The sequence below is a fragment of the Homo sapiens genome, chromosome 12 (assembly GCF_000001405.40).
Source record: "Homo sapiens chromosome 12, GRCh38.p14 Primary Assembly".
NCBI classification, from domain to species: Eukaryota; Metazoa; Chordata; class Mammalia; order Primates; family Hominidae; genus Homo; species Homo sapiens.
Window position 1 is genome coordinate 126,996,378 of NC_000012.12, and position 14,522 is coordinate 127,010,899.

Here is a 14,522-nt window from a genome sequence, read left to right on the forward strand (position 1 = left end):
TGAAAGCTGTCGGCTTATGGAAGAGGAGGGCCAGTTAGTCAATGTCTGGTCGTAGATGAGCTTAAAATTGTTTTAATATTGCTTATCTCAAAGCCAGCACTTGTTTAGCTGCTAAAAATAAGAAAATTCTTGTGGCAGTTAGAATATAGTTTACTCTTTACGTAGATTCATCCATTGCCTGGCATGGTCTTAGGTCTTATTTATAATTTGGTATCTTATTGCTACAAAGAGTCTGTTCTGCCAGTCTTATGACCCCTATTTTAACAGTAATATTGGTCTGTTGTGTCTAATTTGCAAAAGCAAGGGGATGAGACAAGCCCTGTCCAATCTCCCACTCCATCATGGCTGGGAACTCAGTCTTTTTAAAGATTCTCTGGAGTCCCCTTAACCAAGACAGAGTCCATTCAGTGGGCTGTGAGGCTTAAGATTTTGTCTGTAGTTTACAATTCAAAAGTCTATTTTCTGCATGGCGTATTTGAGAGGAAAACAAAACCGCACCAAAATTGTTCCCCTAAAAGCTGAAGATCCCCTTTGTATACCCCCAATCAATGAGAAAGTCTATTGTTTTCTCCTTTTTTAAAATATCAATAAAAGCAGATCACATGAGTCATTTTCATGTTCAGTCAGGTTTTGAGGGTGATAATGTATTCACAGAACAGTGAAATGTCCTCAGACTGTTTTCACATACATGACTAAAATAATGTTTTGGCATATTAACCAATTTCTTTTCTCTTCTTTTTTTTTTCTTTTCTTTTCTCTCCCCAATAAATCATAGACTCCAGTTTCTGTTCTTTTTCCAGGAGTTTATGGGGAAGGAAACAGAAGCACTTACAAGTCTTTCTGGTTATGGAAAAGAGGCCTGCAATTCAGGAGCTGGTAATCCGTACAGCCAACGCTTGAAGGTACTGGGTCCTGGGGTGAGTCCTAGCAGAGAAAGTTCACTAGCTCAGTCTGCAACCGTGTTTTGACGTAAATGTCATTATCATCCCCACTCTACATAAGACGAAAGCAAAGCACTGCAAGGCAAAGTTACACATTCACATTTGCACAGCCAGGGAGTAGCAAAGCCAGGAGCTGAATACGGGCAGGTTGGTTCCTGTGATGGTGAATATTGAGTATCAACTTGACTGGATTGAAGGAGGCAAAACACTGTTCTTGGTGTGTCTGTGAGGGTGTTGCCAAAGGAGATTAACGTTTGAGTCGGTGGACTGGGAGAGGCAGACCCGCCCTTAATCTGAGTGGGCACCATGTAATCACCTGCCAGCTCGGCTAGAATAAAGCAGGCAGGAGAAGATGGAAAAGCAGACTTGCTGAGTCTTCTGGCCTTCATCTTTCTCCCGCGCTGGATGCTTCCTGCCCTTGAACATCAGATTCCGAGTTCTGCAGCTTTTTGACCTTTGGACTCATACCAGTTGTTTAACAGGGGCTCTCGGGCCTTTGCCCGAGACTGAGGGCTGCATTGTCGGCTTCCCTGGTTTTGAGATTTTGGGACTGGGGCTGATCCATCACTGGCTTCGTTGCTTCTTAACTTGCGGACGGCCTATTGTGGGACTTTAACTTGTGATAGTGTGAGTCAGTTCTTCTTAATAAAATCCCTTTCACATATACATCTATCCTATTAGTTCTGTCCCTCTAGAGAACCCTGAAAAACACAGTCCTAAGTCTAAATTTTTAGCCCCTGCTCTGCACAACTTCAAGATAGCCTGGGCTCTCCTGTCTAATACTGTGCCCAAATTCAACCAGATGAAGTAAGCACAATCCACCATTGCAGGTGCTTAGATTCAAGCAATTTCTCTGCAATTAGCTAGAGTATAATATTGCCTGTTACCCAATAATTAGGGCGCACAAGAACAAGGATCCTGATTAAAGCTGTTTTGCTTCCAATAAAGACAGGACCTAATTGCAGACCTCGCAAGATCCGCTTGTTTTAAGCGGGTGATGTGTTTGTATTAATTCTGCCTGCCCCTTCTCCAATTTAATCTGGTGTCCAAGCAGTTACCACTATGAACAAAAATGTGTTCTGGCCAAAATGTGACTCTATTCTAACTGCTTTAATGCCTCAATGGTTCAGTTAAATAAGCCACGTCCACCCTTACTGGGATCACAATTAAATAACATAAACATTCAACAATGTTCATACATATCTTGTAAAAATGCACAAAATAATAGGTTTAGATTCTGTGAAGCTCAGTCACGCTTTCATAGTGGTGTCATCAAGAAACAGTTGAGTTATTTTATTAGCATGTTTTTAAGTTCATTGACATCGAAATTATTTTAAAGGAGATTCTTAATACTCTTTTATTCTCCTATTTATTTATGTTTTCAATCACATCTTCCCACTGCATCAGTAACACGGAAGCCTTCTGACAAGGCCACTTAATTATCAGCTGCGCTGACTGGAAATGCTCCTTTATCAGCGCCTGCTTCCTTTGTCTGGCCTGAGAGGTCCCTGAAAAGTCTGCTGCGCCTGCCTTCGTTACTATTCAGACACAATTCTTAAGACACACGGGGTTTATGTCCCTTTGAAGGTTTGCTTGTCATTGTGGCTGGCTTATCACGGCCTTAAAGGGCTCCTCCTCAGCCCACCAATCCTCCATAGAGATGATGCTTGAGACTCTAAAGATAGTCAAATAAGGCACTTTATGTGAGTGCATATGAGTCATCCTCATCAATGCTCCTGAGAAACACGAACACTGAGAGGTGCTGCTTATTCATTCTATGAACGATTACTGGGCCCACTCCTTATCTGTAACTTCCAGAACAGTAGCACCGAGCAGGAAGGCCAGCCATGTCCCATGTAGAAATTATACTCCCGAGCTTACAATGGATGCCTTTGGGTTTTCTGGGTTTTTTTGCCTATGTTTTTTTAACTTGGTAATTAGAAGAGAACAGAGGAGAAAAATTAGACTATGTATGTTCTTTTTTTTTCCCTTTATCTATGCTGAAGTAGAGAATTACTGAGAGGTGAAATTTAAATTACCAAGAGTGATTAAAAAAAAAAAAGCTTAACATGGGATTTCATGGGATGGCTTATTTTTTTCTCCTTCTTGGCTTTACCCAGTGTTTTCAGTAACAAACACTCATAGTTTCCACGGCTTATAAAAATGAAAGAATATCTTGTTTGTTCCATCTCTCGCTGCTGTCTCGTGTCATCTACTGCGTGTTGGGTTTCAGATTCATGATTATAATGTCATTGTCACAGATGCTACAGAAGGTGCTAAGAATCACATCCTAATGCTGTCTTAGGAGAATGCATGCGATTAGCCATAAAGGGGAAAGAAAAGAGATTTTTATTTGATCCAGGCAGGCAGTCATTCCTGGAAATCCCCTGTACTCTGTTGGGTCACATGGACATCAGGAACTGCAAAGAAAGCTGGCAAATGTAGAAGTTACGATTATCCATGACCAGTTGGACCCCTGGAGCTGGGTACATGGATGCCCTGAATGAAACCAGGCATAGTTCTGCAAGGAAGGAACCGTTGAGGAACAGGAGGAAAATCTGCAGTGTTGGTCATGACCCTAGTGTTTACCTTATCCAGTGTTCCTTTTTTTTTTTTTTTTTTTTTTTGAGATGGAGTTTTCCTCTTGTTGCCCAGGCTGGAGTGCAATGGTGCGATCTCGGCTCACCGCAACCTCTGCCTCCTGGTTTCAAGCGATTCTCCTGCCTCAGCCTCCCCAGTAGCTGGGATTACAGGCATGTGCCAGCACGCCAGGCTAATTTTGTATTTTTAGTAGAAACGGGGTTTCTCCATGTTGGTCAGGCTGGTCTCGAACTCTCGACCTCAGGTGATCTGCCCACCTGGGCCTCCCAAAGTGCTGGGATTACAGGCGTGAGCCACTACACCCGGCCTACCTTATCCAGAGTTCTGACTCTACCCTGGGGCTCTGGCCCCTACATTCTGCCCCAACCATTAAGGGACCCTGAAATCAAACCATAAGGACTTTAAAATTCTGATTCCATGGCCTCAGCTTTTGAGATTCAACACAAATGCCACAAAATCAAAGTTCCACTTACTTGGGCAGGTAGACAATCGAATGTCAACCACAAAGCTGTATTATGCCGAGCATTTTGTCTGATACTCCCAGAAAAGCAAAAAACTCTTCGGTGAATGTACAGCGCTCAGACAAGCCTTCTCCCTCCCCCAGGGCATTCTTCCCAGGATAAGCACAAGACCTACCTTGCAAGACATGAGAACATTCTCAATAATAAGTGAGAAGAAATTCTTTCTCTGTCCCAGGGATTCTTGCCAAAAAATGTGTTGCTTTACAGGGGCTGCAGGAGAAAAAAAAAAACAGGAAATATTAGCTCAAAATAGCCATTGTGGGTTATGTCTGTGTGTCGGGACCGGCCGTCTCAGTTCAGGCAGCCTCAGCCTCATGCTGAGGTCCTGGGTCTATTGTAAACAGAGAGGTCACTTCTTAAGATTCCTAAAATGACACAACTAACAATCCCTTTAGGCTGAGCATCACTCTTTCTGGTCTTCCTTTTCAGAAGTAGCTATAGCTCTTCTGAAGGACGGATCATTAAAAGAACCCTAATATAATTCTGAGAAATCTGTTTAAAGATGTTTTATTCCTCATGGAAGAAATGTACCAAATGAGCCCTGGACACAGCAGAAAAATCAGAAAAGTCACATATTTTTCTGGGTTTGGATTTAAAAGTTCACAAAAGAACCATACTCAAAATTGCTCAGTAAACCAGCTGAGCGCAGGACTGTTGGTTGCTTTCATTTCAATTGATACCATTGACGTGATTCACCTTACTCTTGCAAGAGTGGCCATAATAAAAACAATAAAAAAATAGTAGATGTTGGCATGGATGTGGTGAAAGGGAACACTTCTACACTGCTGGTGGGAATGCAAACTTATCCAACCATTATGGAAAACAGTGTGGAGATTCCTTAAAGAACTAAAAGTAGAGCTGGGTGTGGTGGCTCACGCCTGTAATCCCAGCACTTTGAGGGACCGAGGCGGGCGGATCACGAGGTCAGGAGATTGAGACCATCTTGGCTAACACGGTGAAATCCCGTCTCTACTAAAAATACAAAAAATCAGCCAGGCGTGGTGGCGGGCGCCTGTAGTCCCAGCTACTTGGGAGGCTGAGGCAGGAGAATCGCTTGAACCCGGGAGGCGGAGGTTGCAGTGAGCGGAGATTGTGCCACTGCCCTCCATCCTGGGTGACAGAGCAAGACTCTGTCTCAAAAAAAAAAAAAAAAGGAACTAAAAGTAGAACTACCATTTGATAAAGCAATCCCACTACTGGATATGGATATCTACCCAGAGGAAAAGAAGTCATTATATGAAAAAGATACATGTGAAGCACAATTCACAATTGCAAAAATGTAAAACCAACCGAAATGCCTATCAATCAATGAGGGGATAAATAAATATATATATACACACATACATAAATATATCTGTGTGTGTGTATATATATATACACTATGGAATACTACTCAGCCATAAAAAGGAATGAATTAATGGCATTTGCAGCAACCTGGATGGGATTGGAGGCTATTATTCTAAGTGAAGTAACTCAGGAATGGAAAACCAAACATCCTATGTTCTCACTCATAAGTGGGAGCTAAGCTATGAGGATGCAAAGGAGTAAGAATGCCATAAGGACTTTGGGGACTTAGGGTGAAAGGGTGGGAAGGGGGTGAGGGATAAAAGACCGCAAACTGGGTGCAGTGTATACTACTTGGGTGATGGGTGCACCAAAATCTCACAAATTACCACTAAAGAACTTACTCATGTCACCAAACACCACCTGTTCACCAAAAACCTATGGAAATAAAAAAATTAAAAAATAAAAATTAAAATTAAAAGTTCACAGAAGAACCAAACTCAGAAATGCTCAGTAAACCAGCTGAGCAGGGATAGAAGCAGATGACTGTTGGTTGTTTCTATTTCAGTTGATGTCATTGATGTGTCTAGACAACATGCCCTTTCTAAGGTGGGAGATGCGTATCTTCAAACATTGGCACTACGGGTAGTGTAGAGAGATGCTCCCACCAGGAGAACCCTGGGGAACTGAGAGCAATGAAGGAAACCAACTATTGACATCTCCCATCTCATGCCTTAGCTTCCCACAGGGACAAATTCAAGTGGACAAGAATATAAGCAGAATCCTAGACTCCAGTAATGTTATGATGTTATTCTCTCTCTCTAGCTAGCCATGCATGTAGTTGAGTTAGTGTTAACTAAAGAGGTGTGTGGTGTGATTCTACTGCTCTGAGAAAAAGAATTAGTCAAGAAACAGGCAAGTGTAGTTTCAAAAGCCAAGAACCCTGACCAGAATGTCTTAGAATACTTTTTTTTTTTATTCTGGGAAGAAAAAAATAAAAGTCAGGAATGAATGCTTTTCTGGGTCAAATAAAAACCTTGTTTTTTTTGTTTTGTTTTGTTTTGTTTTTTGTTTTTTGATGGAGTTTTGCTCTTGTTGCTCAGGCTGGAGTGCAGTGGCGTGATCTAGGTTCACTGCAACCTCCACCTCCTGGGTTCAAGCAATTCTTTCGCCTCAGCCCCCCAAGTACCTGGGATTACAGGCATGCGCCACCGCGCCCAGTTAATTTATTTTATTTTATTTTATTTTATTATTTTAGTAGATATGGGGTTTCACCATGTTGGTCAGGCTGGTCTCAAACTCCTGACCTCAAGTAATTCACCCACCTCAGCCTCCCAAAGTGCTGGGATTATAGGCATGAGCCATTGCACCTGGCCATGGCCAAAAACCTTGTATTTTTATTTTTTGGCTAATCACATGTCTTCCGAAAAGGATACGGCTATTGGGATGTGATTTTGTTTTTTTGTTCTTCCCAGGAAAAAGTATTCTTAGCTAGAAGAGGACACAGAATCAAGGGTGTTTTTTGTGTTCAGGGGTACAGGGAGGGTGAATTTGGCCAAGCAGCTTGTTTGGAGAAGGCACCCTTAATAAGTGGAAGAAAGGTCTAAGTGGACTTTAGAGGCCTGTTTTTTTCTATCAATGTTGGGTTTGGATTTCTTGCGAATTTAAGTTTATGAATGAACTTGACTTTATCAAAGTGAGGACCAAGCCCATTTTGTCCATGCCTCTCATCAAAGAGGGCCTCACACTTACAATTCTGTTTATAAGGGTATTTTTTTCCAAATGAAATTACACACACAATTTTTTTTTCACTAGAAAACATCAAACTAATATGACTAGACTCAAGGAGTTGACAGTATTTGTATACCTACAATTACTTTGCAGAAAGTAAACCATATTGTATTATATTTCAATGTATGTGTTGAAATTTAACTAATCTCATTCTTACCCTGAGTAGCCATGGAAAATTGGAAAGAATGTAAAACAAAGCAACAACAATTACACTGGGAACCTTACCACAGGAAAACCATGTCTTACAGAATCTATAGAAATATTTATACCTGGTTGGCTTAGCCTCTCTTCATCCCTGAGTTTCTGTTTGACTATATCATATTATTGCCCTGAATCTGTTGTCATAGTATCTAGGAGCAAAAGATTCCAATTCCCCGGTAGAGACATACTTCACTATGGCACTAGCGCTTAATTTTCATCGATGTCCTTTATCACTCCTTCTGGGTCAATTGTAACATTCTTTAAACTATACCCCAAAATCCACTGAGTTCAATGTTTAGTCTTGCTGATGGATATTAGTATGCAGAGAGTCTCACACATTGTCATACTGATGACTAGATAATCCTTCCATAATACTGTGTTTGCCCTGCATAGCATTAAACTCCTTTTCCATCGAGTGATTTAATAATACAATGTGGATTTTGCTTATTGTTGACAATTAGAATTCTGACAATATTAGTTTTGCATTGCAACATATCAGCAACTGGCTAAGTCTGACTTATAGACAGATCATTTGGGGCACATGAGTTTGCAATTCTTGTTGACAACATAAAGATACAATGTAATGTAAATTGGATAATCAAAATTGGATATCATACTTCTTAAAGGGCTTGTGGCTCATTGGTATCCCACAGTAATATGATTGAAAAGCGTTAGTCTAGTTCAAGATGGCTGAAAGATTATTCTCTCTCTACAGATTCTAAACATATGCTGTAGCATTTTTTTCTTATGCAGACTGACACCTATTCACAGAGTGAGCATCTGTTGATTGGTGCCTGTTGCTTTTGCATTCAAGATATTCTCAAATCATTCCCTGACTCTTGAGTGTTATCAGTATTGTTATTATGTATTGAATTATATTTTTGCAGAAACTCTTCTGAGGGTTTTATATAGATTATCTCATTTGATCCTCAGAATTGCCTCATAAGATACTTTTCTAATCCCCATTTTATACCTGAAGAAACTGAATCTTAGAAAGATGATAGGACTTGCTTAAGGCCTCTTAGCCAGTAAGAATATGAATCAGGATTTATTCTAGGTAGGAAATGAAACCACCTGCATCAATATGATGTAACCACTTTTTTTAGAAATTTCTTGTCCCAGAAAATAAGACCATATAACCAATAAATGACTATTGAATATGTCAGAATATTTTGTAAATCAATTTACCCAGGACATTAGTTTGCTCACCTGAGTAAACAGTTATTTTATCAGTCAATAGTTTACTAATGAAAACTCTTACCTGGCTGTGTCCACCAGTCCTAAATTATTATGTCAAAAATGATACAAAATTCAACCAGTTCTGACTCCAAAAGCCCCATCTTAGAGAAATTGAACCCAGGCACCCACATGATATAAATATTCTATTTTGCCTGCCCCCTTTTGAAACATTGCTAAGATTCTCTCAAGGCCTCCTTGATACAGTAAGTTTAAGTTTAATCCATTCATCTTTGGTTGATCAATATAATAGGAATATATTAGGTTTGTGGCAAAAACCGCAGTTGCTTTTGCACCAACCTAGTAATATTTTCTGGTGGTCTTACTGGGCAAGTAGACTCTGAACACAAGGCAGACAGCTATCATTGTGACACAGAACTGATCGTTGCAGTATATAGTGTCCTGGTGCCATAAACAGACTGTAACTCCGAGAACAGGACTTCGACTTTTAATTGTTGAGCTTGCCATTTCTCTACCGTTTCTCTTGCCATTTGCCTACTTCTGTCGCTAATGTCCTTTCAGATAAATTTGTGTGTTTGTAGCCACTACATTCATGTTAATCTCCTATAGGAGTCATATGGATCTAATACGCTGTGCCACACCTGGCAGGCTTCCTCTGGTTTAGCAATCCCTGAGGCCAGGTGAGATGGTTAGCCAGACTCTGCAGTTCAGAATGAGAAAGTCCACTTGGCTAACACACCCACAGCCATGATATGCAATTTGTTCTCTAACAGTAATAAAGCTGATAATTTGACCTTTAATTGCCATATCTCATGTCTCCATTTGTTTAGGACCCAATGGAGAAGATGGGTGAGATTTAGGAGGGACAGTCTCAGAAACCCCAACAGTGGTGGCTGCCAGAATATGGTGGCCCGAATTCTCCATTAGGGCCTCTGTGCTTCGTTCCCCTGTGTGTCCCCTGTAGACCTCACAAGTTGTAGGAACTTAATCAGGATTTGTTATTGTTAATGAGAGTGGTAAAGTCCTACAGAGAGAGTCCCAGAAGATAGACCTGCTAAATGTACACAGAAAAAAACCTGAGAAATCGGCCTGAGCTGAGAATCTCTTGTGTCCGTAAGGGGATCCTGGGTATGGCTTGACTTGAGGATCTTGTGGGCAATGAAGACAGAACATTGCCTAAATAAATAAATCGGCTAAATTAGTTCCTGGTTCAAACAGAGACAGCGGGACCTAAAGGAGCATCGCAGCAGAGGCAGCCCGGCACCTCCCCAGTGCCTTCAGAATCCATCCCAATAGGATCCGAGGTAGAAGCACCCTGCTGCGCTCCGTAACCATTCTTTTCAGCATGAACCCACATCCTTCCTTCTCAAAAGCTAATTTCTGAACAGGAAAGAATATCCAACTTAGAAAAGCTTTTCAATATCCTGCATGTCTCTCTTTTTTTCTTGTTTCCTTGTCCTGCCTCAATTCTGGGTGAGTGACGTGCTAATGGATAAGCATTTGCCTTTCTTCTATCTTCTCACTGAGGAAATGCTCTGGCTTGAGGAAAGGTTGCTGGCTTGCCTTGCTCTCTCGCTCTCTCTCTCTCTCTTTTTCTTCTTTGCTTTCTTTCATCTCTTCATCAAAGAACTGCCATACTCCACTGATTGATGGGGTAAAGTGCTATGGTGGTTAAATGGCTCAAATGCTTTTGGTTCTGTAACACCAAAATGCCCAGGATGGCAGAGGAGGAACAGCTTCTTTTGATTCTTCAAACCAGAAAGATAAACATGCATTCACACAAACACACTCACACACATGCAAACACACACACAGACATATATGCACCTATGCAAATACACAGACATACACATATTAACACATATATATACACACACATACACATATACACAGGCACGCACACCTATGCACACACCTACAAACATATACACAGACACAGAAACACACACAAACACACACAGACACAGAAACGCACACACATATACACGCCTACAAACATCTACACACACATACACACACAAACATATTCACACAGAAACACATACACATACATACACACATACGTGCATTGAAATACACGCATATATGCATGTGCACACATTTATGCAGACACATACATAGCAAGTGCTGGCAACAAAGGTGGAGGAGTTGGGCCATGATGTAAAGAGGAAAAACACACAAGGTTTTCATTTCTTCATCACAGGAGTGACTGTTCGGGTTATACTGTGACGGTTTCACAAGACCTTTGTCCTAATAAAAATCATCAGTGATCTCCAGGTCCTGTTGCTCAACATGTGAGGACAGAAAAAGTCCAGGTTTATCTTCCTTTGCTTCTTAGGCCTGCAGCTTCGAGCGTTTGCCCCTCACTTAGCATGCTGCTCCCAGAAAAGAAACATTAGGTAATTAATTTGAATTCCCAGAAATGTGCTTGCGACCTCGATGCAGGCTCAGCGGCTTCCAGGGAGCTCCCTGCCTTGGCCGTGCCTTTGCGCCTGGCTCTTGCGTGGAATTCAGACTCCTAGCTGTCCCGTGGCTCTGTTAACTTACATGAAATATTTTTGATTCACCCTGAAAATATCTGTAATATGCTGCATTATTTCTGAGCTGTATGAGGACTTCATATGCAAGGAAAGTTTTATTTAACTAAATAAACCATTGGAAGAGCCATTTATGTTCAAATCATTAAGACATGCAGTTTGGGAGATGAAAGAAAATAAACACTATCATTGGAGGCTCTTTTGGTTTCAAGCAATGATGAAAATGTAGCTCGAACACGTCAAGAAAGGTATTGGTTTATATACTCATTTCTCCATTTCCCTTTTTTTTTTTTTTTTTTTTTTTGAGACGGAGTCTGTAACCCAGGCCAGAGTGCAGTGGTGTGATCTTGGCTCATTGCAACCTCCACCTCCCGGGCTCAAGCTATTCTCCTGCCTCAGCCTCCCAAGTAGCTGGGATTACAGGTGCGTGCCACGGTGCCCAGCCTAAATTTCTTATCTGCTCTTTTACTGTGGCTTCCCTTCTAAGCCCGGGACTGACCTTTGAGATTACCCATGAAATCCGCACGCTGACACCATCAGTGGTACCAGCAGTAAGGTGTTTTCTCTTTTTCCTGCAGTTCCACAAAACCTCTCGAATCTAGATTCATTTGTGCTGATGGAGAATATATCCAGCCCAGAAGCAATCACAGGGCCTGAAAATAAAGTGAGGCTCTCACTGGCTGGCTGTGATTTCTAGGCCCACTTCTGTAGGCAGAGTGAGGGTGGGTTGAGGCAGCTAGTGAGCAACCACGCAGCAGTTGAACAATTTCAGGTCTGAGCTCCAGGACTTATGGCTTTGAAATAACTGACAAAATTGTATGGAGAATGGGATTGTCAAAAATAAAAAAGAAAGAAAGAAAAAGAAAGAAAGAAAGAAAGAAAGGAAGAAAGGAAGAAAGGAAGAAAGGAAGAAAGGAAGAAAGGAAGAAAGGAAGAAAGGAAGAAAGAAAGAAAGAAAGAAAGAAAGAAAGAAAGAAAGAAAGAAAGAGAAAGAAAGAAAGAAAGAGGGAGGGAGGGAGGGAGGCAGGGAGGGAGGGAGGGAGGGAGGGAGGGAGGAAGGGAGGGAAAGAAAGAGAGAGAGAGAGAAAGCAAGCAAGCAAGAAAGAAAGAAAAGAAAGAGAAAGAAAGAAAGAGAAAGAAAAAGAAAACACCATGTAGACTTTGGTATCTCTATTACTAATTCTTTTGTTCATTCTCTGTTATGGCTTCAAAAAGAGAAGAAAATATTTTTCAATCTTTTAACCCCTAATTCTGACATTGACCACCCCCTTTCTCCACCCCGGGGGTGATCTTTTTCTGTCCACACTGTGCGACATCATTTAAATATCCAACCACGCCACATCTTTTGAGTCCCAGACCTCTGATTGGTTGTCCTTGGTTTTCTCATTTTGTTCTTTTTTTATGTTCTGATTTGTTTCATGTGGCCTTCTCTAAGCTGGTAGAAATGGAACCACACCTGCATTAGTGTTTGCACGCCACAGCCCTGTATTTACGGAGTGATTGAGGAACCTCCCAGGAGGAAGCGGAGGCAAACTCCCATTTCCAGGCCCTGCTGCTATCCTCCTTCACAGAGCAAAGCCACTTTCTTCCTTTAGGAGGTGTCCATGGATGCCTGTGGGCCATCATTTCACCCTTAAACACAACAGCCTCCTCATCAGTCATTCTAACACTGCTTCAGTTTTCCACCAACTTTCGCAACCTGAGCGTGTCAGCCAGGGCCTTAGGAGCCGGTTACTCAAAGGGACTGTGGACCTTGAAGCACAAACAAAATGCAACAAACAAAAATCTTCGACAGCTGATCTGAAGCAATATGCAGACAGCAGCACTTTGTTTAGATTTGTCCATGCCTATTTCTAATCTTAGCAGCACAGACTTTAAAGGTGATACATTCCCTGTGTCTACTAAGGGAAGGCCGTTCCTCTCACTGTTTATTTTAAAACTATAACCTTTAAGCTTGGATATAGGGAAAAAGAAAGGAAAGTTTCCATAACTGGAATCGTGTATTTCTAATCTTAATCAGTACTCCATTTAACCCTTGTAGGAATATTTGTGTGGGTACAAAGTCACATGTAAAAATACCTTGGTTTTGTGAAGCTTCAGCTTTAAAACACTGTGAGTCAGAAAAAGAGAAATCCTTTTCATTCATAATGCAGGAAGCTACCCATTGGGGAAATAAGTGCTTTTAAATATTTAGTATGATTTAATCATAGATTATACAATCTTCCTTTTTTGATCAAAAAATTGTCATTCACATTTATTCAGATATCAATCCCAATCTTACTTTAAAGAAGCTGAAGGCATAGAAATAGCTATTATGACACCAGTTATAAACAAGAAAGTTTGATCCATGAACACAGTTTTCAGGTATATGTGAGCTTTCATTTGAAAAAGGTTGATTCGGTTCTCTCCACATGCCATGGACTTGGCAAAGTTTTTTTTTCCTAAATAGTATCTCATTTTTTTCTATCAACCTTAGAAAATAGTTATTAGCATCACCATTTTAAAAAAGAATTTTAAAAGTTATAACCTCTAGGAAAGTTGTCCAAGGTCACAAGGCTAATAAGGATTGGATATGGGTTTTGTCACATAAGGTGCTATGCTATGCTAACAAATACCTAAAATATTGGTTTATCTTTGCTCACTTGCCAATTGTGTTAAAGCAGGGTCTTGATAAAATTCCAATAGCATTTCCTACTTCCCTTCTTTCTTTCAGTATTTATTTATTTTTTTCCTTAAGTATCTACAAAATAGGGAACTCTTCAAAGTCAGGCTAAAATCATAACTTTACAAGATTCTTTTCTGCTTTTATTTCTCTTTTGGTGAGACCTACAATAAAAAGTTGTCTTTCAAGTTATTATTTTGCCTACTTTGAGGCAAAACATGATTCTTTTTTCTTAAAAATTTCATCACAAAATTCTGGGTAGCTGGGATTTAAATACTACTTGGCATAATGACTGATCACTTTTTAAAAGAGCCTCATCTGCTTTGTTAAATTAGTTCTGAATTCTGAAAGCCTGCTGTCATTATACAGATAGAATCATTTTTGTAAAATGTACAATTGTTTGTTGCTTTTGTTCTCCTGATTTATTTACTGACTTAGTTTACCAATTATTTATAGTTAATATTTTATGAGAGATTTTATTCTGAAACACAGCTTTCTTCTCTGGTCTTATTTCTAATGAACATTAATGATATAATATGTATGCCATTTTAAGCCTGTTTTCTCATCTAGTAAGGTGACATATTGACTTAGATGGTTTCATTTAAGAGCCAGGAAAATCATAAGAGTTAACGAGTGTGTATTTTGCATCTTCCATTACCATAGGTAAGGGACAGAGACACAGACATGCATAAGACACAATCCTGCATTTACTTTTTAATTGTAAATATGCTAACATTTTAGAGAGACAAATACACATCTAGACACATTATTATTAAGCTGTGTGGAA

The 14,522-nt window shown here is 40.4% G+C and overlaps 2 long non-coding RNA genes across 2 annotated transcripts in view; one reads left to right on the forward strand and one right to left on the reverse strand.

The window, feature by feature from the left end:
* LINC02405 (long intergenic non-protein coding RNA 2405) overlaps positions 1–14,522 on the reverse strand; it is a 145,171-nt gene that overhangs the window by 81,151 nt on the left and 49,498 nt on the right. The window contains exon 3 of the long non-coding RNA NR_104646.1: positions 4,179–4,273. This is a non-coding gene — a long non-coding RNA (long intergenic non-protein coding RNA 2405). The remainder of the gene's footprint in view (positions 1–4,178; positions 4,274–14,522) is intronic.
* The window catches only part of LOC105370063 (uncharacterized), a 51,177-nt gene that overhangs the window by 19,517 nt on the left and 17,138 nt on the right, over positions 1–14,522 (forward strand). The window contains exon 4 of the long non-coding RNA XR_007063518.1: positions 801–902. This is a non-coding gene — a long non-coding RNA (uncharacterized LOC105370063). The remainder of the gene's footprint in view (positions 1–800; positions 903–14,522) is intronic.